At 52.2% G+C, this 25,672-nt stretch overlaps 2 protein-coding genes across 24 annotated transcripts, besides 9 other annotated features; both read right to left on the bottom strand.

Annotated features, from left to right (window-relative positions):
- UBA52 (ubiquitin A-52 residue ribosomal protein fusion product 1) lies at window positions 3,584–17,368 on the bottom strand. 13 transcript variants are annotated; one of them, NM_001321017.2, is made up of 5 exons: window positions 9,298–9,410; window positions 7,731–7,841; window positions 7,386–7,472; window positions 6,162–6,264; window positions 3,584–6,077 (listed from the first exon to the last, which is right to left on the bottom strand). In NM_001321017.2, exons 2-5 carry the CDS (start codon window positions 7,831–7,833, stop codon window positions 5,984–5,986), a joined length of 387 nt encoding a protein of 128 aa, NP_001307946.1. In that variant the 5' UTR covers window positions 7,834–7,841; window positions 9,298–9,410; the 3' UTR covers window positions 3,584–5,983. The 13 variants fall into 13 exon arrangements, with proteins under 13 accessions (NP_001307946.1, NP_001307947.1, NP_001307949.1 ...); NM_001321018.2 differs by lacking the exon at window positions 9,298–9,410 and adding an exon at window positions 8,527–9,277; NM_001321020.2 differs by lacking the exon at window positions 9,298–9,410 and adding an exon at window positions 8,955–9,277.
- Window positions 7,912–8,588: an enhancer, noted in NCBI's record as "H3K27ac hESC enhancer chr19:18683356-18684032 (GRCh37/hg19 assembly coordinates)". NCBI's record gives its function as "activates a minimal SCP1, AML or CMV promoter by ChIP-STARR-seq in primed H9 embryonic stem cells {active_cell/tissue: H9 hESC(primed)}" and the evidence as "EXISTENCE:reporter gene assay evidence [ECO:0000049][PMID:30033119]".
- Window positions 9,227–9,566: an enhancer, noted in NCBI's record as "active region_14327". NCBI's record gives its function as "activates an Ori minimal core promoter by ATAC-STARR-seq in GM12878 lymphoblastoid cells {active_cell/tissue: GM12878}" and the evidence as "EXISTENCE:reporter gene assay evidence [ECO:0000049][PMID:35858748]".
- Window positions 9,227–9,943: a biological region, named in NCBI's record as "H3K27ac-H3K4me1 hESC enhancer GRCh37_chr19:18682001-18682677".
- Window positions 9,267–9,943: an enhancer, noted in NCBI's record as "H3K27ac-H3K4me1 hESC enhancer chr19:18682001-18682677 (GRCh37/hg19 assembly coordinates)". NCBI's record gives its function as "activates a minimal SCP1, AML or CMV promoter by ChIP-STARR-seq in naive H9 embryonic stem cells {active_cell/tissue: H9 hESC(naive)}" and the evidence as "EXISTENCE:reporter gene assay evidence [ECO:0000049][PMID:30033119]".
- Window positions 9,777–9,896: an enhancer, noted in NCBI's record as "active region_14326". NCBI's record gives its function as "activates an Ori minimal core promoter by ATAC-STARR-seq in GM12878 lymphoblastoid cells {active_cell/tissue: GM12878}" and the evidence as "EXISTENCE:reporter gene assay evidence [ECO:0000049][PMID:35858748]".
- On the bottom strand, window positions 11,756–23,264 carry KXD1 (KxDL motif containing 1). 11 transcript variants are annotated; one of them, XM_047439388.1, is made up of 7 exons: window positions 23,220–23,264; window positions 20,584–20,714; window positions 18,977–19,098; window positions 16,113–16,265; window positions 13,956–14,002; window positions 12,455–12,732; window positions 11,756–12,304 (listed from the first exon to the last, which is right to left on the bottom strand). In XM_047439388.1, the coding sequence occupies exons 3-6, from the start codon at window positions 19,075–19,077 to the stop codon at window positions 12,503–12,505; spliced, it is 531 nt and encodes a 176-aa protein (XP_047295344.1). In that variant the 5' UTR covers window positions 19,078–19,098; window positions 20,584–20,714; window positions 23,220–23,264; the 3' UTR covers window positions 11,756–12,304; window positions 12,455–12,502. The 11 variants fall into 11 exon arrangements, with proteins under 11 accessions (XP_047295344.1, XP_016882770.1, XP_047295345.1 ...); XM_017027281.2 differs by having other exon boundaries at window positions 20,584–23,264; XM_047439389.1 differs by lacking the exon at window positions 20,584–20,714 and having other exon boundaries at window positions 22,004–23,264.
- Window positions 18,446–19,031: an enhancer, noted in NCBI's record as "H3K27ac-H3K4me1 hESC enhancer chr19:18672913-18673498 (GRCh37/hg19 assembly coordinates)". NCBI's record gives its function as "activates a minimal SCP1, AML or CMV promoter by ChIP-STARR-seq in primed H9 embryonic stem cells {active_cell/tissue: H9 hESC(primed)}" and the evidence as "EXISTENCE:reporter gene assay evidence [ECO:0000049][PMID:30033119]".
- Window positions 22,656–23,445: an enhancer, noted in NCBI's record as "H3K27ac hESC enhancer chr19:18668499-18669288 (GRCh37/hg19 assembly coordinates)". NCBI's record gives its function as "activates a minimal SCP1, AML or CMV promoter by ChIP-STARR-seq in naive H9 embryonic stem cells {active_cell/tissue: H9 hESC(naive)}" and the evidence as "EXISTENCE:reporter gene assay evidence [ECO:0000049][PMID:30033119]".
- Window positions 23,006–23,165: a silencer, noted in NCBI's record as "silent region_10408". NCBI's record gives its function as "represses an Ori minimal core promoter by ATAC-STARR-seq in GM12878 lymphoblastoid cells {active_cell/tissue: GM12878}" and the evidence as "EXISTENCE:reporter gene assay evidence [ECO:0000049][PMID:35858748]".
- Window positions 23,446–24,237: an enhancer, noted in NCBI's record as "H3K27ac hESC enhancer chr19:18667707-18668498 (GRCh37/hg19 assembly coordinates)". NCBI's record gives its function as "activates a minimal SCP1, AML or CMV promoter by ChIP-STARR-seq in naive H9 embryonic stem cells {active_cell/tissue: H9 hESC(naive)}" and the evidence as "EXISTENCE:reporter gene assay evidence [ECO:0000049][PMID:30033119]".

The raw sequence follows: 25,672 nt of genomic DNA, 5'->3' as shown, positions 1-25,672 counted from the left end.
CTTTTCGAGCTTCAGGTCTTAGGGGGTATTGTCTTTGGTAAGGGAAAGGGGTGGGGTCTTTTAGTTTGATTTGGACTGGACAGGCGTTCTTTGCCCCTCCAAATTGTCCTTCTAATGCCCAAACCTCAGGGTTGATTCCTTCCTCAAGTAGGGGACAACAGATAGGTCTTTTCTTCCCTGTATTCATACAGATGATAGCTCCTGATTTAGCTAATATGTCCCTCCCCAGTAAGGGTATGGGATTCTCAGGCATGATGAGAAAGGCATGTGAGAAAATTAAGGTTTCCCAGTTACAGCTAAGGGGGCGGGAGAAATACCTGGTTACAGGTTGTCCCAGGATCCCTTGGATGGTAACAGACCTTGAGGACAGCCATCCAGGGCAGGACAGTGGAACTGAGAAGGCTGTGCCAGTGTCCAGAAGAAAGTCGATTTCCTGGCCCTCAATGGTCAAACTTACCCGGGGCTCTGTGAGGGTGACAACACGAGCTGGTGCTTGCCCCGGGCACCCTCCATCCTGTTGCTGGATCATCTGGTTGGGGACTTCTGGCCCAGAGAACCTTTGTCCTCTGGGACAGTGTGCCTTCCAGTGATCACCTTGGCATAGTGGACATGGGTGAGAGGGCGGCTTATTTCTCTTTGGACAATCTTGTTTAAAGTGTCCTTGTAAACTGCACTGATAATAAGCCCTGCTGGGTGATTGGCCTGCTCCATTTTTTCTCCTCTTTGAACCGCCAAGGTTTGTCTGAGGGCATGACTAAATCTGCAGCCTTTCTCTTATCCTGCTTTTCCTTTTCGGCCTGTTCCTCTTGGTCCCTATGATAGAACACTGAGGTTGCCAGGTTTAATGATGCCTCCAAATTTTGCTCGGCCCAAGGCTAACTTTTGGAGCTTTTTCCTAATGTCTGCAGCTGACTGAGTAATAAATTTGTCCTTTAAAATTAACTGGCCTTCGAGGGAATCTGGTGACAGGGGAGTATATTTTCTCAAAGCCTCCCTCAGCCTTTTGAGGAAGGCAATAGGGTTTTCTTCCTTCCCTTGGGTTATAGTAGACATCATTGAATAGTTCATGGGCTTTTTCCTAGTTCTCCTTAACCCTTCTAGGATACAGGTCAGTAAATGTTTGTGACTCCAGTCCCCATGATCCGAGTCAGGGTCCCAGTGGGGATCCATACTGGGGACTGCTTGCTGGCCAGTAGGAAACTGCTCTCTTCTGATGTCATTCTATCACTTACTTAACTGAGGTACCAGGTATCCCCAAACTCTCGGGCTCCTGTTAAAGCAGCATTCTTCTCATTAGAGGTTAGGTCTGATCAAGCAATAACATGATCTCTCTCCAGGAAAGGTCAAAAGATTGTCCCAGACCCAGCAGGCCATCTACGTATCTATTGGGGTCATCTGAGAACTTTCATCCAAGTCTGCCTTAATTTGCTTTAGATCAGAGAGAGAAAAGGGAACATGTACTCGGGTTGGGCCAAATTCCCCTCCTACAGCCTGAAGAGGACATAGCCAGGGGCCAGTGGGGTCTCTTGGCTCTCTGAAGGCTCTTTTATTTGTTCCCTTTTGGGCTGTAGAAGCCAGAGAGGGTTTGGCATTAGTAGGAGGAGCCGTGGGGAGGACTGGGTATGGGGGTAGAATTTGAGGACTCCCTGTGGGGTGCAGGTTACATGTCTTACACAATCGTGGGTTATCATCCCTTAATGAGAAAAAGGTCTGAACATATGGTACCTAAATCCACTTGCCTTCTTGTTTACAAAACAGATCTAGTTGCAGGATGGTATTATAGTGTATACTTCCCTCAGGTGGCCATCGTTCTCCTCCTGGAAGAGGATATTGTGGCCAGGCAGTGCTGCAGAAAAATATGAGCTGCTTCTTCAATGTCTGGGGATCAAATTGGTCCCAGTTATTCAGAATACACCTCAGGGGCGACTTCACTTTGGAGGGAAAATCTCCCATCTGAAAGGAAAGCATAGGGATGCCCGCACCCCTAGTCATTCCCAGTGGACACTGGTTCTAGCAGGTCCCCTACTGTTTTAGTGTCCATTTTCCAGGGTGCACAATCACCCATGGAACCCTGCTTATCAGATTTAATTGTGCTTACCGACGTAGCAGTTTCAACCACATTCTTTTCCCTCCCTTCTTAGCCACAAAGAAGGAGGCCAGGCTGCTGGGTTTAGCGGCCTCTTACCAGTGCGCCCGAAAGTTTTTGTTCCAGTGAGTGGGTTCTAAGTTTGGGGTGTATTCTTAGGTGGTTTACAAGGCTCCAGTTAGCATATTTCTGAGCTTGAAACTGCCCCAGTAAGATGAACTCCTTAAAGATTGTACATAGACATAGCAATTTTAAGGCGGGGGGCAACAGGGGATTGGGCCAAGGCTGAAATAGTGTCTCATGCACTACAGCCTTTTGTCCCCGCTTTCCATCTTAAGAATACTACTTTTGATCTCCCAGTCGATGGTCTATTATTTTACTTAACTCCCACAAATGCGAGTGGTACCCTGAGTGGAAGAGCTCCGTAGTTTGGATTGCTGATCCTAAACAAGAGAAATGATAGGTGAAATGGTTCCCAGTGAGGTGGGGACGACAGAAAGAGAAATGGCCTAAGCCTTCCAGTAACCATTGGCACACACTATATTGTCCTGGGTATTGCCTTCGGTGTCGAATATGGGGAACAGGTCCTGTATATTTGCATTGTTGCCCATCTACATTAGAATAAGCCATGGGGGCCGGGCGCAGTGGCTCACGCCTGCAATCCCAGCACTTTGGGAGGTCGAGGCGGGCAGATCACGAGGTCAGATCGAGACCAGTCTGACCAACATGTGAAACCCCATCTCTACTAAAAATACAAAAATTAGCCAGTCATGGTGGCACGTGGTGCCTGTAATCCCAGCTACTCAGGAGGCTGAGGCAAGAGAATTGCTTGAATCCGGGAGGTTGAGGTTGCAGTGGGCCAAGATCGTGCCGCTGCACTCCAGCCTGGGCGTCAGAGCGAGACTCCATCTCAAAAAAAATAAAAAAATAAGCCATGGCACATCAGGAACACAGATCTGAGGGTTGCCATCCTAATTGTTTTAGATTCCTAATCCAGAGGGTTTTCATCCTGGGGGTAGAGAGAATCCTGGAGACAAGTTCTCAAGAAAGTCTTCCTTATAGACGTTTGGACCTAGGAGGCATGCCTCTCGAAGGGTGGGTGAAGTGCGTTTGGGTGGCTGTTTAACAAAGGTTTCACAAAGCGCTGTCATCTCGACTGGGCGTTACCAGGAGCTTGGGGCCACTGTTTTCCACCCTTGGCCAGCCCTCGGTTCAACCCAGAAAATGCAGAGAAAGTGGGAACTGGTTTCTAGGCAAAACAACACTCTCGATTCAGAAGGGCTGGGGGTTGTTAGAGAGCCCTTTCTCAGATACCCTTACATCTGTGTCTTTAGTCAGGCGGCGGCACTTGTCGCTTTTAAATGGCCGACAGGTGCCCGGTGTTTGCCCTCAATTCTAAAGAAAAGTAGAGCAGAGTAGCAAGCGAAAGAGGTCCGATGTTACCGCTTTGGAAATCCTGGGTGAGCCCCCACGATGAGTCAGTTTCTCCTGCCGATGGGTTCCTGGTCTCGCTAACTTTGAAGAATGAAGCTGCGGACCTTTGCGGGGAGTGTTAACAGTTCAAAAAGAGTCCACGGACCAGGAGAGTGAGCAGCAGCTGTTTATTGAATGAAGCGAAAGGAAAGCTTCCACATGCTGGAAGGGGACCCAGAAGGGTTGCCATTGCTAGCTTGGGCGGCTAGAGCTCATATCCCTGTTACTCCCTCCCCTTTCTTTCTTTTTGTCCATTAAGAGTGGTTCTTCCTTCAATCCCCCCTTGGAGTGGTTAATTTTGAATCCTTCATTCGATCAGTTAAGAACTCAAAACCCTGAGTCATGGGGGTCTTTTGTGAAAGTCCCCAAACTGGCCCAGGAAGTCCCGCCAACTCCACCCCTCATTAGGATGCATCACTGGCCTCGTGCACCGGCTTCACCAGCACTGCACCCTAATCAAAACAGGGGCCAGCAAGGTGCCTCACCCCTGTAATCCCAGCACTTTGGGAGGCTGCGGCAGAACTGCTTGGACCCAGTGCAAAACCATTCTGGGCAACATAGCGAGACCATGTCTGTAAAAAAAAAAAAAAAAAAAAAAATGTAGCAAGGCCAGGCGCTGTGGCTTACGCTTGTAATCCTAGCACTTTGGAAGGCCAAGACAGGTAGATCACAAGAGGTCAGTAGTTCAAGACCAGCCTGGCCAACATAGCAAAACCCTGTCTCTACTAAAAACAGAAAAACTAGCCAGGCGTGGTGGTGGTGGCGCACACTGGTAATTCCAGCTACTCAAGAGGCTGAGAAAGGAGAATCGCTTGAACCCGAGAGGCAGAAGCTGCAGTGAGCCGAGACTGCGCCACCGCACTCCAGCCTGCACGATGGGAGCAAGGCTCCATCTCAAAAAAAAAAAAAAAAAGTGATAAAAAACCAAAACTAAACAGGAGGCTTTTAAGTTCAGGAGTTTGAAGCCAGCCTGGGCAACATAGCAAGACCCCATCTCTACAAAATATTAACCGAGTGTGGTGGCACAAGCATGCAGTCCCAGCTACTCGGGAGGCTGAGGCAAGATCCTGGGAGATCAAGGCTGCAGCAAGCTATGATCCTACCACTGCACCCCAACCTGGGTGACAGTGAGACTGTCTCAAAATTTTAAATCAGTAAATAAAACAGGAATTGGTCTGTGCTCACCCCATCTAAAAAACTCTTGACCTTATGATTTGCCCACCTCAGCCTACTGATCATTACAAGCTTTAAAAACACCAAAGCAATTATCTGAGTGTGGTGGTGGGTGCACACCTGTAGTCCTGGCTACTTCGGAGGCAAAGGAGAGAGGATCACCCAAGCCTGAGTTCCAGGGTACAGGGAGCCATGACCACACCACTGCATTCCAGCCTGGGTGACCTTAAGGGGAAAACACCAAGGGTTGCCCTTCTTAAGAGTGATTATCATAGGAGAGGGTACAGCTCAGGGGCAGAGCACTGACTGCAGACCATGAGTGATGTCACGGCCTCAGATTCAAAACTGAGTAACTGGGCCAGGCGTGCTGGCTCACGCCTGTAATACCAGCATTCTGGGAGGCCAAGGCGAATGGATCACAAGGTCAGGAGATCGAGACCAACCTGGCTAACCCAGTGAAACCCCGTCTCTACTAAAAATACAAAAAATTAGCCAGGAGTTGTGGCGGGCACCTGTAGTCCCAGCTACTCGGGAGGCTGAGGCAGGAGAAGGATGTGAACCCCGGAGGCAGAGGTTGTAGTAAGCCGAGACTGCGCCACTGCACTCCAGCCTGGGCGACAGAGCAAGACTCCGTCTCAAAACAAACAAACAAACAAACAAACAAAAAACTGAGAACTGGGTCAGGCATGGCAGTTCTTGCTTGTAATCCCAACACTTTGAGGGGCTGAGATGGGCGGATGGCTTGAGCCCAGGAGTTCAAGACCAGCCTGGACAACATAGTGAGACCCCATTTGTATAAAATAAAAAAATTTGAGAATCAACGTTCTACACCATTGGGTGTACCTAATTTTCTACCCATCTCCACACACCTAGACACTTCAGGGCCAAGGCCTGAGGGACACCTCAAAGTGCCTGACAGGATCCCAGCAATGACAAAACTGATCCTCAGTCCCACCAATTACACGACTGAGGTTTTTACTCCAGTTTTACAGATGACAAATCCAGAGTCAGGGGCATAGGGCAGGGACCAATGCCGATGTGACAGAATCTAGGACAGAAGACCCCACAGGTGGCACAGAATGGAGTGCTGAGTAGAGTCCCTAAGGGAGATGCCCACTCTTCAGCCACCTCCCTGGACAGATCAGCCATGAGGACACCAATTGCTGCTCCAGTCAATGAAAGGGACACTTTATTGAGGCTCCAGGGCCACGGGGCCTGGGCAGGAGGCTGCCCTTCAAGGAAAGAACCACCTTATTTGACCTTCTTCTTGGGACGCAGGTTGTTGGTGTGACCACACTTCTTCTTGCGGCAGTTGACAGCACGAGGGTGAAGGCGAGCATAGCACCTGCACAGAGACAGGAGGGGTGGGTGAGGGCATACCCCGACTCCGGCAGCCCCCACAGCCCCCCAAGCATCGGAGCACACATACTTGCGGCAGATCATCTTGTCGCAGTTGTATTTCTGGGCAAGCTGGCGGAGAGAAGGCTCAATAATGCCACCTCGCAGGCGCAACACCAGGTGCAGGGTGGACTCTGCAGGAGACAGCCAGAAGGACGGCGACTGAGCCCAGCCCTGGCTCCTCAGTCACAGGGGCAGGACCCTCCAGGGCCTATAGTCTGCTGCTTTCTCAAGTGTGATGGGGACACCAAGTCGGGATCCCCCGAGTGTTCTACGTGTGGAAGATACACTGTCCCAGCCAGCCTGCCCCAGGAAATCTCCATCTCAGCACTGACCACGAGCCCTGGGGGGAGTCTGAGACTGACACATGCCAACTGAGGCATCCATCTGGGTTTCTAACATGGAAGCCGACCTCTAAGTGGTTCAGGCAAGGTCAGACACTGAAGTCTAGGCGGGGCACCATGGCTCACGCCTGTAATCCTAGCACTTTAAGAGACCAGCCTGGCCAACGTAGTGAAACCCTGTCTCTACTAAAAATACAAAAAAAATTAGCTGGGCGTGGTGGCGGGTGCCTGTAATCCCAGCTACTCGGGAGGCTGAGGCAGGGGAATCGCTTGAACCCGGGAGACGGAGGTCACAGTGAGATCGCGTCACTGCACTCCAGCCTGGGTGACAGAGTAAGACTCTGTCTCACAAAAAAAGGACACTGAATTCTTGTCGCTCCCACAAGTGACACTAATTTCCTTATTGCAGTGATAAAAAAATTCACATTATGACTTTTTTTTTTTGTCTCCCGAGTTCAAGCAATTCTCCTTCCTCAGCCTCCTGAGTAGCTGGGACTACAGGCACGCACCACCATGCCTAGCTAATTTTTGTATTTTTAGTAGAGATGGGATTTCACCATGTTGGTCATGATGATCTCAATCTCTTGACCTTGTGATCTGCCCGCCTCAGCCTCCCGAAGTGCTGGGATTACAGGCCTGAGCCACTGCACCCAGCTGATTTTTGTATTTTTAATAGAAACGGGATTTCACCACGTTGTCCAGGCTGGTCTTGAACTCCTGACCTCAGGTGATCCACCCGCCTAAGCCTCCCAAAGTGCCGGGATTACAGGCATGAGCCACTGTGCCCAGTCCCATTATTTTAAACAAAACACAAGTCATTTGAACTGCTCCCCAACCCCTGAGGCCATCAATGCTCCTTTCCTAGGACCTGGGGATCTTGGGTCCCTGCCCAGCAACCCCAACCCCGGTACCTTTCTGGATGTTGTAGTCTGAGAGAGTGCGGCCATCCTCCAGCTGTTTGCCGGCAAATATCAGACGCTGCTGGTCAGGTGGGATACCTGAGGGGGAGGGAGGCTCAGTTAGAGGCTCTGCGGACCATATTACTGGCAGTGTCCTCTGCAGGGGAGCTCCAGCACTACCCCCAGTTTCTCAAAAGGCCAACTGAGGTAGAAGATAACAAACGTTCTTCAGATCACATGGAGAAGCAAGGGCAAAACAGATCTAAAGTCAGCACAACCCACACAGGACTGAGACTCCCCTGGGCAGAGAGGGACTCCCAGTTCACAGCCAGAGCCCCCACACCCAGCCCTACTCACCCTCCTTGTCTTGAATTTTGGCTTTGACATTCTCAATGGTGTCACTGGGCTCGACCTCAAGGGTGATGGTTTTGCCAGTGAGGGTCTTCACAAAGATCTGCATGTTTGCGTCTGCAGGAGGAAGGGAGGCAGGATAGACTGGTGAGCAATGCATGCCTGAGTAGCACAAGCTCAGGTGCCTACACCACAGTTGCTATCCCTTTGCCTGCACCAAGTCCAACTGGTCCTGCCCCAGTACCTGTCTTCCTTTCACTCCTCCAAGCCTGGCCCTGCTAGGCTTCTCACACACCCTGGCCTGTAGTCTAAACATGTCCTGGAACTAAAGACCACATGTCCTCCACCCTCCTGACCGCACGGGTGCTCTTCAGGAACACAGACTGTGGTTATTCTCCTTAGGTTTAGCGGCGGAAGGACTCGTCAGTATCTCCTGATGGAATAAGTACCCTTTGGCATCATCTTGCTAGATCCATCTTCCCTGAAGGCGGTCCCACCCTCTTCCACGGCAGCCAGGTCCTGATCTGCACAGGCTGCTCCTGCTGCCAGCCTGGATGGGAAGCCATCCCCTACAACACACATGCCTTCCTGTCGCAGCCTCTCTCCTCTCTAACTCCAAGCTGGAGCACCCAACACTCTTAGCTTCCTTCTCAATTACACCAAAACTCTCCAGACCCCACTTCTTGCCTTGACCCCAAACCACGAACATCACTTAGTATCTACCAACCACCTGCCAAGCATTGTTCACATATAAAAGTTGACTTAAAAAGACAAAGAATCGACCGGGCGCAGGGGCTCATGCCTGTAATCCCAGCACTTTGGAAGGCCGAGGCAGACGGATCATTTGAGGTCAAGAGTTCAAGATGAGCCTGGCTAACATGGTGAAACTCCGTCTCTACTAAAACTACAAAAATCAACTGGGCGTGGTGGCAGGCGCCTATAATCCCAGCTACTCGGGAGGCTGAGGCAGAAGAATCGCTCGAGCCCGGGAGGTGGAGATTGCAGTGAGCCGAGACCGCACCACTGAACTCCAGCTTAGGCGACAGAGCAAGACTCCATCTGAAAAAAATACAAATAGTCTAAAGAAAAGTCTAAAAAGCAGACACTACCACCAGCTCCTCCTTACAGACGTAGTAATGGAGCCAGGTATGAAGACTCAGCTCGAGAAATTTAGTATTTCCAAAGCGACTGACGCAGTGACTGGCAGAGTTAACGCTACACGCTCAATACCCCTCTCTCATTAACTCGGATCTGCCCCGAGGACCTCTTCCCGCCCGAGGCCTCGTGGGGTCACGCTGGCAGGCAGAGCAGGCAGGCTCCTCTCCAAAACGGCGCTCGCCTCCTGGGCCCCGGTCTGGGCTCCGAGCCGTGGCCTCGCGAGCCCTGCCCAGCCACCCTGCCGAGACTGGCCCGCATGAGCCAGCTCAGGGCCGCCTCTTCTGCCGCCCAGGCCCCTGCAGCCTCCCGCAGCCCCCAACCCGCTCTCGGCCCGGCGCGAACCCGCACGACCGCCGCCACCAACCAGCTCGGCCGCCTCGCTGAAGAAAAAGAAGATAGCGGAACCGGAAACCACCTAATCGCCGCCGAAAGCGCTTGCGCACGGAGCACGCCGGACGCCTGCGTCACAATTCGCGCCGCGCCTTGGGCCCCGCCCTGCCGCCATCTTGGATGCTGGCGAACGAAGCCGCAGCGCACGTGGGTGAAGGTCGCCCACCCGCTTCCGGTTGTGGGCCCCGCCCGCCGAGTCACTTGAGACGATTGCACCTCTCCCCGTGTTTGCGTCCGCTGCCTCTAGGCCACTGACAACCGCTGGCGGTTGGCGGGCCCTCAGCGAATAGCTGAACGGAGTAGAGGAGAATGTTTTCTAATAAAGCAAAGGTATTAAGCAGAGGACTGCGGGTCCAGGACGCAGGAGTCGGGGCTGGGAAAGCACCTAACACCTGGAATCGGTTATTATAAAGCTCTCGGCCGCTGTGCCTGAATGGATTTCAGGACAGCAGCAGGGAGAGCAGACGGTACTACCGCATTCGCCCAGAAAGGTGGTGGTGCCTGACAAAAGGTGTCAAGCGGGACTCAGGATTTTTTTTTTTTTTTTTTTTGAGACGGAGTTTCGCTCTCGTTGCCCAGGCTGTAGTGCAATGGCGCGATCTCGGCTCACCGCAACCTCCGCCTCCTGGGTTCAAGCAATTCTCCTGCCTCAGCCTCCCGAGTAGCTGCGATTACAAGTGTGCGACACCATGCCTGGCCACTTTTGTATTTTTAGTAGAGACGGGGTTTCTCCATGTTGGTCAGGCTGGTCTCAAACTCGCGACCTCAGGTGATCCGCCCGCCTTGGCCTCCCAAAGTGCTGGGATTACAGACGTGAGCCACTGCAGTGTCTCTTTTCAGTGTAGGATCCAGATTTGTGGGTGGTTAAAAAGTGCCAGGGCGGGACCTGGGTCCGGTGACTCACGCCTGCACTTTGGGAGGCCGAGATGTGCGGATCACCTGAGGTCGGGAGTTCGAGACGAGCCTGACCAACATGGAGAAACCGCATCTCTACTAAAAATACAAAATTAGCTGGGCGTGGTGGCGCATGCCTGTAATCCCAGCTACTCAGGAGGCTGAGGCAGGAGAATCGCTTGAACCCGGGAGGCAGAGGTTGCAATTAGCCGAGAGAGTGCCATTGCACTACAGCCTGGGCAACAAGAGCAAAACTCCGTCTCAAAAAAGAAAAAAAAAATTACAAAAATTTTTCAGGTGTGGTGGCGGGTGCCTGTAATCCCAGCTACTCAGGAGGCTGAGGCAGGAGAATCGCTTGAATCCGGGAGGTGGAGGTTGCAGTGAGCTGAGTTCACGCCACTGCACCCAGCCTGGGTGACAGAGTGAGACTCCATCTCAAAAAAAAAAAAAAAAAAAAAAAGTGCCACGGCGGGTGCAGTGGTTCACACTTGTAATCCCAGCACTTTGGAAGGTCAAAGAGGGAGGATTACTTGAGGTCAGGAATTCACGACCAGCCTGGAAGACATAGTGAGACCCTGTCTCTACAAAAAAAAGTTTTATTTTGAACTATCCAGGTGTGGTGGTGCGCACCTGCAGTCCCAGCTACTTCGGAGGCAGGAGGATTGCCTGAACCCATAGGTTTGAGATTGCAGTGACCCATGATTCAGCCACTGCACTCCAGCCTGGGCAACAGAGAGGTGCTGTCTCAAAAACAAAACAAAAAAAAAAAGTGCTGAGTACAGAGAAGATGGGGAGCAATGAGAAGTTACCTATAGGCTTAACAGGGGTACCTGTTTATTTCCTTGAACATTTGCAGGCACTACTATACCAGGCAAAAGCAGACACTCTCACGTCTGGGAAGATGCCTTTAAGAACCTAATTTCCTTTTCTTTTTTGAGACAACAGTTTTGGTCTTTTTGCCCAGGCTAGAGTGCAGTGGTGCGATCTTGGCTCACTGCAACCTCTGCCTCCTGGATTCAAGCAATTCTGCCTCAGCCTCCCAAGTAGCTGGGATTACAGGTGTACACCACCACACCCAGCTAATTTTTATATTTTTGGTAGAGATGGGGTTTCACCATGTTGGCCAGGCTGGTCTCGAACTCCTGACCTCAGGTGATCCACCCACCTCGGCCTCCCAAAGTGCTGGGATTACAGGCATGAGCCACCAAGCCCGGTCATAACAACATAATTTCTAAGTACTCAGAAGATGAGGTAACCCTGGGAGTGTGTCTGATGGGGAATGGATCTAGTGTGGCTCCCCTATCTGGAGGAAGGCTGAGATCTGGAGAAGGAATTATGAAATGAGGATGGGAACACTAGTATTGTGAGCAGTGACAGCAGCGTGAGGGAAGACCTAGCTGGTGACGGGAACTTGGGTTGTTATAGCTCCCACCAGGGGGGGTTCCAAAAAAGGGCCACATCTCTTTCTAGCCCTGTAGTGCCTGATTGTCTGCACCTCCCTCCAGCAGGGCCCCCAGCCCCACATCCAGCACTTGCCCTCCTTTTGGGTTGCTTGGCTTAAGGACTGAAGAAGCCACAGCTAGGTGTACTTTTCCCTTTTTAGTAATGGTGTCTTTTTATTGATAACTTCCCAACAGCATCTGTAAACATCGGGTACAAAAATATTCCATTAAACTCTTTCCCGAGGTGGCTCCGTTTGCTCCATGGAGGCCTTCAGAGAGGCCTGCTGGCCCCTCAGGTTCCACACCTCTATTCAGAGAAACACAGAACTCAGCACGCTCAGGGCTGAATGGATGGCCAGCCTCCGTCTCAAGACTTCTACCTATCTCAGAAACCTCCTTGAGATACCAAGGAGAAAGTATTTGATACTTTTACGGAGCAAGGGGCAGGAAAAGCAGAATTAGTGGGTGCGGGGGTGGGCTGGGGTGAACTCAGAGGAGACCGTGCTTGTGCACCTCAAGGAGGTCCTGACCGGTGGTGGGGGACATCTGGCTCTGGTGTCTGGGAACCTTCTAAGCATTCTTCAGAGCAGACGTCAGGCTCAGCTCTGGAAAAATTCCCCTGTGCCCAGCCCCACGACTCCAGCTGGAATGGGCGTGCCCTGGCATGGCAGAGGGGTCTTGCAGAATAGAGATGTTCTGAGGAAGGAAGGAGCCAGAATTAAAGACCCCCCCAGGAATTCCACACCCCTCGGGAGAGAGCCTTGTCCCCCTAGGAGCCCTGGGTGACAGAACGGGGCAGCAAAGGAGCCCTGGATGACAGAACAAGGCAGGGTTACCCGCTGCCACCTTGTATGCTGCTGCCCTGAGACCCCCTCAAGGCACCGGGCAGCAGGGCTATTCGCCCGTCATCTCCTCGTCATCTGTCTGGCTGCGGCCGTTGATGGCTGGGGAGCCAGGCTGGACATGGGACAGGTCCTCGAAGCCGGGGCTCAGGGAGGGCGAGACGGTGTCGGGGCTGGTGTCACATGAGCCCGTGCTCTGTTCTGAGGTGGCAATGGTGGTCGTGGTGCTGGGTGGGATGGGGTCTTCATCCTCTTCCTCCAGGAAGGATGCCTCTGGGATATCTGGGGGAAGGAGGCCCAAGAGTTGGTTTTGTCACCTTGCCAAGCTCTGTGATGTAGGACTTATTGTCCATGTGACCCCTAACGGCTGCCCTCACCCCATGGGGGTATGACTTGACCCTTTTTTTTTTTTTTTTTTGAGACGGAGTTTCGCTCTTTGCCCAGGCTAGAGTGCAATGGTATAATCTCGGCTCACTGCAACCTCCGTCTCCCGGGTTCAAGCGATTCTTCTGCCTTAACCTCCTGAGTAGCTGAGACTACAGATGCCCATCATCACGCCCATCTAATTTTGTATTTTTACTAGAGACGGGGTTTCTCTATGTTGGTCAGGCTGGTATCGAACTCCCGACCTCAGGTGATCCACCCGCCTCAGCCTCCCAAAGTGTTGGGATTACAGGCATGAGCCACCGCGCCTGGCAGACTTGGCCCATTTTTATTTTGTAGAGGAGAAAACTGAGGCCCAGGCAGGGAAGAGCCCTCCCTTCAAGGTGAGGTGAGGAAGGGACACAAGATCTGGGGTTAGGCCTACAGGAGCCCTGAGGGCGAACCTGGCTCACTGCACTACCTGGGCTAGGTATATGACCTCCCCTCAGCCCAGCTCCCTGCTCTGTAAACTGCTGTTGGAGGCCCTGGGATGGAGAGCTGTCGGCCTTTTCAACAGATGGTGTGAACCCAGGCTCAGCCTGCAGAGCCCTTTAAGGTGGTGGCAACATGGAATGGTACCCCAGAGAACACGCGAGCTCTCTAGCCAGACAGATGCGAACTCAAGTCCTGCCCCTCTGGGCCTCTGTTTCCCTCTCCATGAAACGGTGATACTCACAGTCCCCACCCCATGGGTGACTGTGGGTAACAGCTGGACATGGGACAGATCCTCGAAGCTGGGGCTCAGGGAAGGCGAGACGATGTCGGGGCTGGTGTCACATGAGCCCGTGCTCTGTTCTGAGATGGCTCATAATGCACACAGGGATAAGGATTGTCATGCTGCTTATCCACATTCTCCTGTGCGGCCTCCCCACGGGGCACGGACTCCCGTCCTAGTGCCCACTCTGCCAGCTGCTGACAGGACCAGGCCAGCACCCTGACCCTGCCCCCACCCCAGGTTTCCCCAGACCCACTGCCCATTACAGCCTGGTCTCAGTATCAGGCCCCAAGGTGGCCTTCCAGAAGCCTGCCCTGGGTGGAGAGTGCTGACGTGCTCGGGAGCAGGAACCCTGCGTGACACTTACGGCTGAAGGCCTCTGGGTGCTGCCTGGCCAGTTTCCCTTTCAGCGTCCTGCAGGGGAGAGAAGGCACACAGGGCTTAACCTGCTGAGCAGGTAGGCTGGGCCTGGTGCTGGCCACAAGCCCCTGCTGCCAGCTGAGGGCAAGGGGAGACGGGAGTGAGAACCCCCACACTGTTCATCACCTCACATCTTCACTCTCTCTAGGTGCTCGGCCCAGCAGCCACGGCCCTGACAGTCGCCCACCAGCCGGCCTCCAGCCCCAAGGTAGGCACCAACCCCCAACTAGTTAGACTCTGGGTGCTCTGAGCCTAGGCACTGGCTGGGGGCTCCCCCTGCGAGGCTGCTTCTTACATGTGGCCTCTTCTCTGATAAATTTTTTTTTTTTTTTTGAGACAGAATCTCACTCTGTCGCCCAGGGTGGAGTGCAGTGGTGCCATCCTGGCTCACTGCAACCTCCACCTTCCGGATTCACATGATTGTCCTCCCTCAGCCTCCCAAGTAGCTGGGATTACAGGCACGTGCCACCATGCTCAGCTGATTTTTTTGTATTTTTAGTAGAGACGGGATTTCATCATGTTGGCCAGGCTGGTCTCAAACTTCTGACCTCAGGTGATCTGCCTGCGTCAGCCTCCCTAACTGCTGGGATTACAGGCATGAGCCACTGTGCCCAGCCATTCCTGCCTTTTCATTATGTGTCTAGCACTATGTTACTTTTTTTTTTTTTTTGAGACGGAGTCTCGCTCTGTCGCCCAGGCTTGAGTGCAGTGGCGCGATCTCGGCTCACCTCCTGGGTTCATGCCATTCTCCTGCCTCAGCCTCCCGAGTAGCTGGCAATACAGACGCCCACCACCACGCCCAGCTAATTTTTTGTATTTTTAGTATTTTTTGTATTTTTAGTAGAGACGGGGTTTCACCATGTTAGCCGGGATGGTCTTGATCTCCTGACCTCGTGATCCGCCTGCCTCGGCCTCCCAAAGTGCTGGGATTACAGGCATGGGCCACCTCGCCCAGCCGCACTGTGTTACATTTTTTAAGAATAAATAAACTGCAAGGCTGGGCATGATGGCTCATGCCTATAATCCCAGCACTTTGGGAGGTCGAGGTGGATGGATCATCTGAGGCCAGGACTTCGAGATGAGCCTGGCCAACATGGGGAAACCCTGTCTCTACTAAAAAAATACAAAAATTACACAAAATACAAAAATTAGGCTCACACCTGTAATCCCAACACTTTAGGAGGCCGAGGCAGGCAGAGTGCTGGAGCTCAGGAGTTTGAGACTAGCCTGGGCAACACGGTGAAATCTCGTCTCTACTAAAATACAAAAAATCAGCTGGGCGTGGCAGCATGCGCCTGTAGTCCCAGCTACTCAGGAGGCTGAAGCAGGAGAATCGCTTGAACCTGGGAGGCGGAGGTTGCAGTGAGCTGACATTGCACCACTGCACTCCAGCCTGGGCGACAGAGCAAGACTCCACCTCAAAAATAAAACAACAACAACAAAAATTAGCTGGGTGTGGTACAGTATGTCTGTAGACCCAGCTACTCAGAAGGCTGAAGCACAAGAATCGCTTGAATCCAGGAGGCAGAGGTTGCAGTGAGCCAAGATCACGCCACTGCACTCCAGCCAGGGCCACAGATCAAGACTCTGTCTCGGCCGGGCGCAGTGGCTCACGCCTGTAATCCCAGCACTTTGGGAGGCCAAGGCGGCTGGATCACGAGGTCAGGAGATCGAGACCATCCTGACTACTAACACGGTGAAACCCCATCTCCACTAAAAATACAAAAAATTCTCCAGGCGTGGTGGTAGGCACCTGTAATCCCAGCTACTCCGGAGACTGAGGCAGGAGAATGGCGTGAGCCCGGGAAGCGGAGCTTGCAGTGAGCTGAGGTCGCGCCACTGCACTCCAGCCTGGGCAACAGAGCGAGACTCCGTCTCCAAAAAAAAAAAAAAAACTCTGTCTCGATCAATTAATCAATCAGTAAATAAACTTACGTCAAGATTTTATCCCAGGGTTGGAATTGTCCCAGACACTTAAGTGCGCAGTGAAGCCTTGTAAAACAAACAGAAATCTCCCTTTACCCTGGTATGTGAAGGAAACTGAGGCTCAGATGGGGAGGTGGAGGCAGAGGTCAGCTGGGCTGGGGTGGCACTGAGCACCCACCTGATACGGCGGAAGATGCTGTCCAGGTCCCGTTTCATCTCTACTAGGGTCCTCGTGTGGTGCAGGAAGCGTTCGCTCATCTGCTGCAGGCGGGCACTGGACAGGTTGTTGAAGTTGAGCAGCATCTCATTGGTCTTCTCAAAGCGGTCCAGCCTGATGGTGGAGAGAGGGCATGAGCTTCACTGCCCAGCTTCAGGGCCCTGCCCAACCTGGCCCAGAAGACTGTTCATGCCAAGCCCTTGCCTGCTTCACAACCTTTGCATGGGCTGTTCCCTTGTCCTGCAGAGTTCTACCTACTCTTTGAGCCACCTAGCAAACTCCTATTCAACCTTCAAAACCCTACTCAAGTGTGTCCTTCTCATGTAGCCTTGTCTACCTCTATTCAGTCAGACTTTTTTTGAGACAGAGTCTTGCTTCGTCACCCAGGCTGGAGTGCAGTGGCGCGATCTCGGCTCACTGCAAGCTCCGTCTCCCAGGTTCATACCATTCTCCTGCCTCAGCCTCCCGAGTATAGCTGGGACTACAGGCGTCCGCCACCATGCCTGGCTAATTTTTTGTATTTTTAGTAGAGACGAGGTTTCACCAGGTTAGCCAGGATGGTCTCGATCTCCTGACCTCGTGATCCACCCACCTCGGCCTCCCAAAGTGCTGGGATTACAGGAGTGAGCCATCGTGCCTGGCCCAATCAGACTCTTTTAATTCCACTAGCCCCAGGTTGTTCCTCTGGCCCAGCCCTGACACCATAGGGCCAGGAGGGTCTGTGTCTGGCTTTGTCTCCCCTCAGTCTAGAAGTTTCCCAGAGCCAGGTCTGAATCTGACCTAAAAAAACAGGAGACCAGCCGGGCATGGGGGCTCATGCCTGCAATTCCAGCGCTTTGGGAGGTCAAGGCAGGCAGATCATGAGGTCAGGAGTTCGAGACCAGCCTTGCCAACATGGGAAAACCGCGTCTCTACCAAAAATACAAAAATTGGCTGGGCATGGTGGCGGGCGCCTGTAATCCCAGCTACTCGGGAGGCTGAGGCAGGAGAATCATTTGAACCCGGGAGGCGGACATAGCAGTGACCTGAGATTGCGCCACTGCACTCCAGCCTGGGTGACAGTGCGAAACTATGTCTCAAAAAAAAGGAGACCAGCACTTTAGGAGGTTGAGGCAGGGTGGATCACTTGAGGTCTGGCCAACATGGTGAAACCACATCTCTTCTAAAAATAAAAAAATCAGGGCCGGGCACGGTGGCTCACACCTGTAATCCCAGCACTTTGGGAGGCTGAGGCGGGCGGATCACGAAGTCAAGAGATTGAGACCATTCTGGTCAACGTGGTGAAACCCCGTCTCTACTAAAAATACAAAAATTAGCTGGCCGTGGTGGCGCACACCTGTAGTCCCAGCTACTTGGAAGGCTGAGGCAGTAGAATCGCTTGAACCCAGCAGGCAGAGGTTGCAGTGAGCTGAGATTGCGCCACTGTGCTCCAGCCTGGCGAGAGAGCGAGACTCCGTCACAAAAAAAAAATCAGCCAGGCATGGTGGTGCATGCCTATAATCCCAGCGACTCAGGAGGCTGAAGCAGGAGAATCACTTGACCCAGGAGGCAGAGGATGTAGTGAGCAGCAATTATGCTATTGCATTCCAGCCTGGGCGACAGAGTGAGACTCTGTCTCCCAAAAAAAAAAAAAAAAAAGACACAGGAGAGAGACAGGTACTATTGAGACTCGGAGCTGCTCTGGGTCTGGGAGAAAAGGTAAGGAAATCAGGTCTGTACTGTGTCGTGACAGCTGAGAAGAGCCTCTGGCTCAGAGACACAAAAACAAAGCTGCGGGAGGCTGTGCTTCCACTCCAAGACTGTATTAGCCCAGTGGTGTCCAGTCTTTTCATTTCCCTGGGCCACATTGGAAGAAGAATTGTCTTGGGCCACACATAAAATACACTAACACTAACGACAGCTGATGAGTTAAGAAAGAAAAAGAAAAAAATCACAAAAAAAATCTCGTAATGTTTTAAGAAAGTTTACGAATTTGTGTTGGCCCACATTCAAAGGGTTGGACAGGCCGAGGGTTGGACAAGCTTGGTATTAGCCTTTCTTCCCCACAGGGCAGGCCTGAATTAGGGCAAGGTTTCAGCAGCCACAGCACCAAACCCCAGTGAGGACAAGAGGCCTTTATGTCCGCTCCAAGAGACCCTGGGCACTGTGCAGACACAGCCTGGGCTCTGGGAGACTAGTCCTTCACCAGGAAGTAGGCGCACCAGCATAAAACCTGCATAAAGGCCAGGCACAGTGGCTCAGGCCTATAATCCCAGGACTTCGGGAGGCCGAGGCGGGTGGATCACTTGAGGTCAGGAGTTCGAGACCAGCCTGACCAACATGATGAAAGCCCGTCTCTACTAAAAATACAAAAATTAGCTGGGCATGGTGGCACATGCTTGTAATCCCAGCTACTCAGAGGGCTGAGGCAGGAGAAATCGCTTGAACTCGGGAGGCGGAGGTTGCAGTGAGGCAAGGTCACACCATTGCACTCTAGCCTGGGCAACAAGAGCAAAACTCTGTCTCAAAAACAAGAAACAAATAAACAAAAAAACCTGCATGTGGCCCCCTCTGGTCCTTCAACTCTCCCACCCCAGGTCTCGGGACAGGAGCCCCTGCGGCCCCCGCCAAGCCATCCGCAGCTGCAAAATCTCCCCAAAGCCCTGCTTCCTGTGCCAAGGCCTCGCCTCCAGGCCGGGAAGGAATTTACTTTGGAGCCAGCGACAGATTTGCTCATTTCCTTCATTTTATCACCAGTGTGGGCCCCGGGTAGGGGCGGGCAAGACAAGAATGTTGGCCAGCCTGTGGATTCCTTCCCACGCTCAGGTCCCCCAGCCGCCACTCACATGTTCTTCTGGGCCAGGATGATGGCGTTGACATCATCTGTGTTCACCATGCTCAGGATGCGGCCGCAGAAGACCCTCGAGGCCGAGTCCGGGAGGTCCATCTCTTTCTCCTCCTCCGCTGCCTGAAACAGGCAAGAACAGAGTGGTCTGCACTAGTCACCAGGTGAGGTGGGACCAAGAGGCCAGGCCGGGACCGCCATGTGCTGGAACCTAACCCAACCGTGGTGGTATCCTACAGTGGGGATGTGTGACTGTGGCTCAGTCATGCCACCTGAACCTCAGGTGTGCCACCCCAGGAATTTGGAGGTATTGGGCAAACTAAGAGAGGTTGTATTTGTAAACTGTACCCAAGCACATTAGAATCCCATCACCTCCCACTTCCATGAGCCCAAGGCCACAGGTACCTCTCACCTGCACAGATCTGCCAGCTTCCTCCCTCATCCCCTGCCTAACAACTGCTGTCCTCACAAGCTGAACGTGTGTGGCTGCTTCAGCAAATCATCACCACCTCCAATGTCTCCTCTCCCAAGAGGTCAATGACTCCTGTTCCCGTCACTCTTACCGCTTCTCTTACTACTTGACCTCGTTTTTTTATTTCTTTTTGATACAGAGTTTCACTCCTGTCACCCAGGCTGGAGTGCAATGGCGCGATCTTGGCTTAGCGCAACCTCCGCCTCCCAGGTTCAAGCGATTCTCCTGCCTCACCCTCCCAAGTAGCTGGGATTACAGGTGCCCGCCACCACGCCTGGCTAATTTTTGTATTTTTTAGTAGAGACGGGGTTTCACCATTTTGGCCAGGCTGGTCTCGAACTACTGACCTCAGGTGATCCACTCGCCTCAGCCTCCCAAAGTGCTGGGATTACAGGCATGAGCCACCGCGCCCAGGCTACTTTACCTTGTTTTTGTTTGTTTGTTTGTTAAGAGACAGGGTCTCGCTATGTTGCCTAGGCTGCTCTTAAATTCCTAGGCTGACACGACCCTTTTGCCTTGGCCTCCCAAAGTGCTAGGATTACAGGCCTGAGCCACTGCGCCCAGCCACCCTTTACCTTGATTTAACTGCTTCACTGGTTCACCTCTTCATGAAATTATCCTAGTTATCAGCTAACCCGTTTGCCTGTCACCGCCACAACGTCAGCTCCAAAAGAGCAGAGGTGGCCAGGTGCTGTGGCTCACGCCTGTAATCCTAGCACTCTGGGAGGGCGAGGCAGGTGGATCACGAGGTCAGGAGTTCGAGACCAGCCTGGCCAACATAGTGAAACCCCATCTCTACTAAAAATACAAAAATTAGCCAGGCATGGTGGTGGGCACCTTTAGTCCCAGCTACTCGGGAGCTTGAGGCAGGAGAATCACTTGAACCCAGGAGGCGGAGGTTGTGGTGAGCCAAGACTGTGCCACTGCACTCCAGCCTGGGCAACAGAGAGACTCCGTCTCAAAAAAAAAAAAGAAGGAGTAGAGGTGTGTCTGTCACCAGAACCCGACCCGGAGTCTGGCTCATAGCAAGGGGCTGCCAGAATGTTGTTGTGGGGAAGGGCAACAGAACTTTTCAAACTCAGCTCTGACGTGACACTTTTATTAGCAAATTAAAGCCAAGAATTGCAGGTACTCACAGCCAACCTGTGGGCCCCAGCAATCCAGATGGTTCTGAGGTTCCCAGTTTTGCTGGCACACAGATGACCGTAATGGCAGGCAGGGACTTCCCGGAGCAGCCAGGGTAGGAGGGGCTACAGCACTGACCCTCCTAGGGAGTTCAGGAAAAATCTAGGATCTTGATATAGTTTGGCTCTGAGGCCCACACATTTAATAGCCAAGAAACAGAGACGAACTTCTACTGGATCAGAAAGGGTTTCAGAGGCCGGGTGTGGTGGCTCACGTCTGTAATCCTAGCACTTTGGGAGGCCGAGGTGGGCAGACTGCTTGAGGTCAGGAGTTCAAAACCAGCCTGGCCAACATAGTGAAACTCAGTCTCTACTAAAAATACAAAAAAAATTAGCCGGGCATGGTGGCGGGCACCTGTAGTCGCAGCTACTTGGATGGCTGAGGCAGGAGAATGGCTTGAACCTGGGAGGCAGAGGTTGCAATGAGCCGAGATCATGCCACTACACTCCAGCCCGGGCGACAGAGTGAGACTCCATCTCGAAAAGAAGGAAGGAAGGGAGGGAGGGAGGGAAGGAAGGAAGGGAGAGAGAGAAAGAGAGAGAGAAGGAGAGAAAGAGAGAGAGACAAAGAGAGAAAGAGAGAGGAGAGAAAGAGAGAGAGACAGAGAAAGAGAGAAAGAAAGGAAAGAGAAAGAAAGGGTTTCAGAGCTCACTTAATGTACTCTCCCATTTATTCAGCAGCTACTCTATGCTAAACAAAGCATCAAGCTCATACATACTGTTATCATTCTTATTTATAGATGAGAAAACTGAGGCTCAGGGACACTGAGAAACTGGGCCACTGTCACACAGCCAGTGAACCTAAGTCACAACAAACGGCCACAGCCCACGGGTCTCACAAAGGTGTGAATCTGAACAGGTGCACAATATCCAGCTGTGACAGGACAGTGGCTTCTTACAGCAGCTGATTTCTGCCTGACTTCTGATGTTTCTCCAGGAAAAAGGAAACAGGGATTTTTTTTTTCTGGGAAATTGCCTCATTGACAAATGTCAGCAATCAATACTTTTTTCCAAGATATCATGGAGGCCAAGAGCATCTATTTGTGATCTGTATCTGGTCAGTGGTTTGCAGCACCTTCTAGAAATAAGGTGCCACACCCAGCAAAACCCCCTTCCCTCTAATAATAACTATGGTTATTGAACTCCTATGACATGCCATGCAGAGACACCCAGTCTCCACATTCCCAAAGAAGCATGATCTTGTATAAAGAGGATACCTGGACCGGGTGCTCATGCCTGTAATCTCAGCACTTTGGGAAGCCAAGGCTGGTGGATCACCTGAGGTCATGAGTTCAAGACTAGCCTGGTGAACATGGTGAAACCCCCGTCTCTACTAAAAATACAAAAATTAGCCAGGCATGATGGCGGGCACCTGTAGTCCCAGCTACTCAGGAGGCTGAGGCAGGAGAATCGCTTGAACCCGGGAGGCAGAGGTTGCAATGAGCCAAAATCAAGCCACTGCATTCTAGTGTGGGCTACAGAGGGAGACTTCATCTCAACTGAAAAAAAAAAAAAAAAAAAAAAAAAGACACCTGGAGAGGGAGGCCCATAGCTAGTACCAGTGAGACACAGTACTGGGACCTTCTGGGATACACTCCTCCTTCAAAACAGGACTCTTTTCTGTCTCTGGCTCCCAGATGTGAGGGCTGAGGGGTTCCTGGCACCTCCCTCCCGTCCCCCCGCAACTTCCTCTCCCAAGAAGCCTTCCCTGATTACTGCTAGTCTGGCCCACATACACAGTGAAATTGACCCAGCAAGAGCTCTGATCCCAACTCCAAATGTAGATTTATTGAAGAAACGCAGAGAGGTAGGCTGTTTGACCATGGGAGAGCCACTTCACCCTTCTGAATCAGTTTTTTCAACCATAAAATGAAAATAAGGTAGAATGAAGATCTCACAGTGCTGTCTGTGGCAACTGAAACCAAAGGTGATAACGACTGGAGCTCAGGACAGGCTGTTTCTCCAAGAGGAGTGTGAAGAAGTCCCGGGAATCAACATTTTGAGAGCATCCCAGGGGCCTCTAAGAATATATTACGGGCAAACACTTGTAGAGCACTTCATTTCATCCTCAATCACCGTTACGAGGCAGACACAATCATCTCCGAGTGAAACTGAGGCTCACAGGGGCGGGCTCCGTTGCCGAAACTCACAGGGAGAGGCAGAGAAGCACCACGGTTCTATATCCAGGTTATTTAACAGAATTTAACTCAGCCATCCAAGCTCTGAAAAACCCCAAGTGGGGAGGGGCTCAAATATCCCCTCACGCCCCGTCCCCTACAATACAGGGAAACTGAGGCACAAACCGGGCAACGCCCAGCTCCAGGTTACACGACACACCCAGAACACAGGAGGCCCCAATTCCTATGCCCCTGATCCGGATCCAGATCCAGCCCGTAGCGCCGCCTGCGTATCCATTGAGCAGACGGGGAAACTGAGGCCTGTGCGCAGCAGGAATGACCAGATGTGGCCAGTGGCGCACCCCACCCCACCGCAGCCCGGGGGCCGCGCCCGACCCGGACCGGTTCCCCGCGGCCCTGGAGTCCCCAGCCCCACCCCAAACTCGGCCCCGGCGTCGGTAGCGGCGGCACCTGCACATCTGGCGGCCTTGCTCGCGCTTCCGGGATGGCGCCCGCGCCGGCGAAACGTCACCACGCACCGATCCTGCGAGCGCGCGTGGCGGGGACGTACCCTGGAGCCGCTTGCGTGCGTTAAGTCACGACAGGAAAGGGCGGGGCTTAGACGGAGCTTCAGCTCGTGGGTGCATCACAATGAATAGCCAATCAAACAATTCATCTCGCGCCTGCGTATTTCCAGAAGCCCAGGCTTGAAAGCGGCCCGGAAGAAGGAAGGCTGAGAGAAGTGTCCCATTTTGTAGATAGTGTGACTGAGGTCCCAGAGTGGTAACCCTCCCCAAGGTCGTAAATGCTACAGTGGTCAGAGGCCAAACCACACTCAGGTGTCCTGCTTTCCAAGCAGGGAATTAGACTCATCTGTGTTCAGACATCCCTGCTCCACTTTTGCTGATTTTTTTGGTCCAAGTTTCCTTTTTTTTTTTTTTTTTTTTTTTTTGAGACAGAGTTTCGCTCTTGTTGCCCAGGCTGGAGTACAATGGCGTGATCTCGGCTCACCGCAACCTCCGCTTCCCAGGTTCAAGCGATTCATCTGCCTCAGCCTTCCGGAGTAGCTGGAATTACAGGCATGTGCCACCATGCCCGGCAAGTTTTGTGTTTTTAGTAGAGACAGGGTTTCTCCATGTTGGTCAGGCGGGTCCCGATCTCCCGACCTCAGGTGATCTGCCCGCCTCGGCCTCCCAAAGTGCTGGGATTACAGGCATGAGCCACCGCGCCCAGCCCTGGTTTCCATTTACACTTCCACGTTGTTTTGGAGTAATGCGCTGGGGAATTTTTTCAAAAGGGTTTACAGGCTGGGCGCGGTGGCTCACATCCTGTCATTGTAATCCGAGCACTTTGGGAGGCCGAGGCGGGCGGATCACGAGATCAGGAGTTCGAGACCAGCCTGACCAACATGGTGAAACCTTGTCTCTACTAAAAATAAAAAAAATTAGTCGGGAGTGGTGGCGGGAGCCTGTAATCCCAGCTACTCAGGAGGCTGAGGCAGGAGAATCGCTTGAACCCAGGAGGCAGAGGCTGCAGTAAGCCAAGATCGCACCACTGCACTCCAGCTTGGGCGATAGAGCAAGACCACGTCTCAAAAAAAAAAAAGAAGGTCAAGCTAAAAAATGAAGAAAATGTATTTTAAGTTCATGTTAGTTTGTGTATACGAGTACCAAGTTTTTGTAATAAAATGCCTCACAGCTACAATTGGAAAAAAAAAAAAAAACGGGCCTGTGGCCCGAGCCTGTGGTCCCAGTTTCTCAAGAGGCTGAGGTAGGAGTATCGTTTGAGGCCAGGAGGCAGAAGTTGCAGTGAACGAAGACCCCACTCCAGCCTGGGCAACAGAGTGAGACCCAGTCTCAAAAAACAAACAGGCCCGGCGCAGTGGCTCACGCCTGTAACCCCAGCACTTTGGGATGCCAGGCGTGTGGATCACCTGAGGTCGGGAGTTTGAGACCAGACTGGCCAACATGGTGAAACCCCGTCTCTACTAAAAATCCAAAAAAAAAAAAAAAAAATTAGCCTGGCGTGGTGGCAGGTGCTATAATCATAGCTACTCAGGAGGATGAGGCATGAGAATCTCTTGAACCTGGGAGGCGGAGATTGCAGTGAGCCGAGATTGTGCCACTGCACTCCAGCCTGGGTGACAGAATGAGACTTTGTCTCAAAAAGCAACAACAACAACAACAACAAAAATCGCTATAAACTGATGTGGATTAATAAATCCACATCATTATAATTATAATTATTTCCTTTCCTGCCCCTTTAAATTAGCTCCTGGCTGGGTGCAGTGGCTCACGCCTGTAATCCCAGCACTTTGGGAGGCCGAGGCGGGCGGATCATGAGGTCAGGAGATTGAGACCATCCTGGCTAACATGGTGAAACCCTATCTCTACTAAAAATACAAAAAATTAGCCAGGCGTGGTGGCAGGTGCCTGTGGTCCTAGCTACTCGGGAGGCTGAGGCAGGAGAATGGTGCAAACCCGGGAGGCGAAGCTTGCAGTGAGCAGAGATCGAGCCACTGCACTCCAGCCTGGGCGACAGAGCAAGACTCCGTCTCAATAAATAAATAAATAAATAATAAATAAGCTCCTGTGTCCTTTTAATATGTCGCCACCATTCTCTGAGCATTATTTATCTTGGGCTCCACAACATGATCCAATGCTGTGTAAAATCCCTGGAATCAGCCATTTCTCCAAGGAACCTGGTTCCTTTGCTTCAAGAGTAGGATTTAGAAACCAAGATCAGTCGGGGCTCAGTGATTCACGCCTGTAATCCCAGCACTGTGGGAAGCTGAGGTGGGCAGATCAGGAAGTCAGGAGTTCGAGACCACCTGGGCCAACATGATGAAACCCCCCCATCTCTATTAAAAACACAAAAAAATTAGCCAGGCATGGTGGTGGGCACCTGTAATCCCAGTTACTCGA

This window comes from Homo sapiens, chromosome 19 (assembly GCF_000001405.40).
Source record: "Homo sapiens chromosome 19, GRCh38.p14 Primary Assembly".
In the NCBI taxonomy this organism is placed as follows: Eukaryota; Metazoa; Chordata; class Mammalia; order Primates; family Hominidae; genus Homo; species Homo sapiens.
The sequence above is the reverse complement of the archived record's forward strand: the minus strand, read 5'-3'. Positions and strand labels throughout refer to the sequence as shown.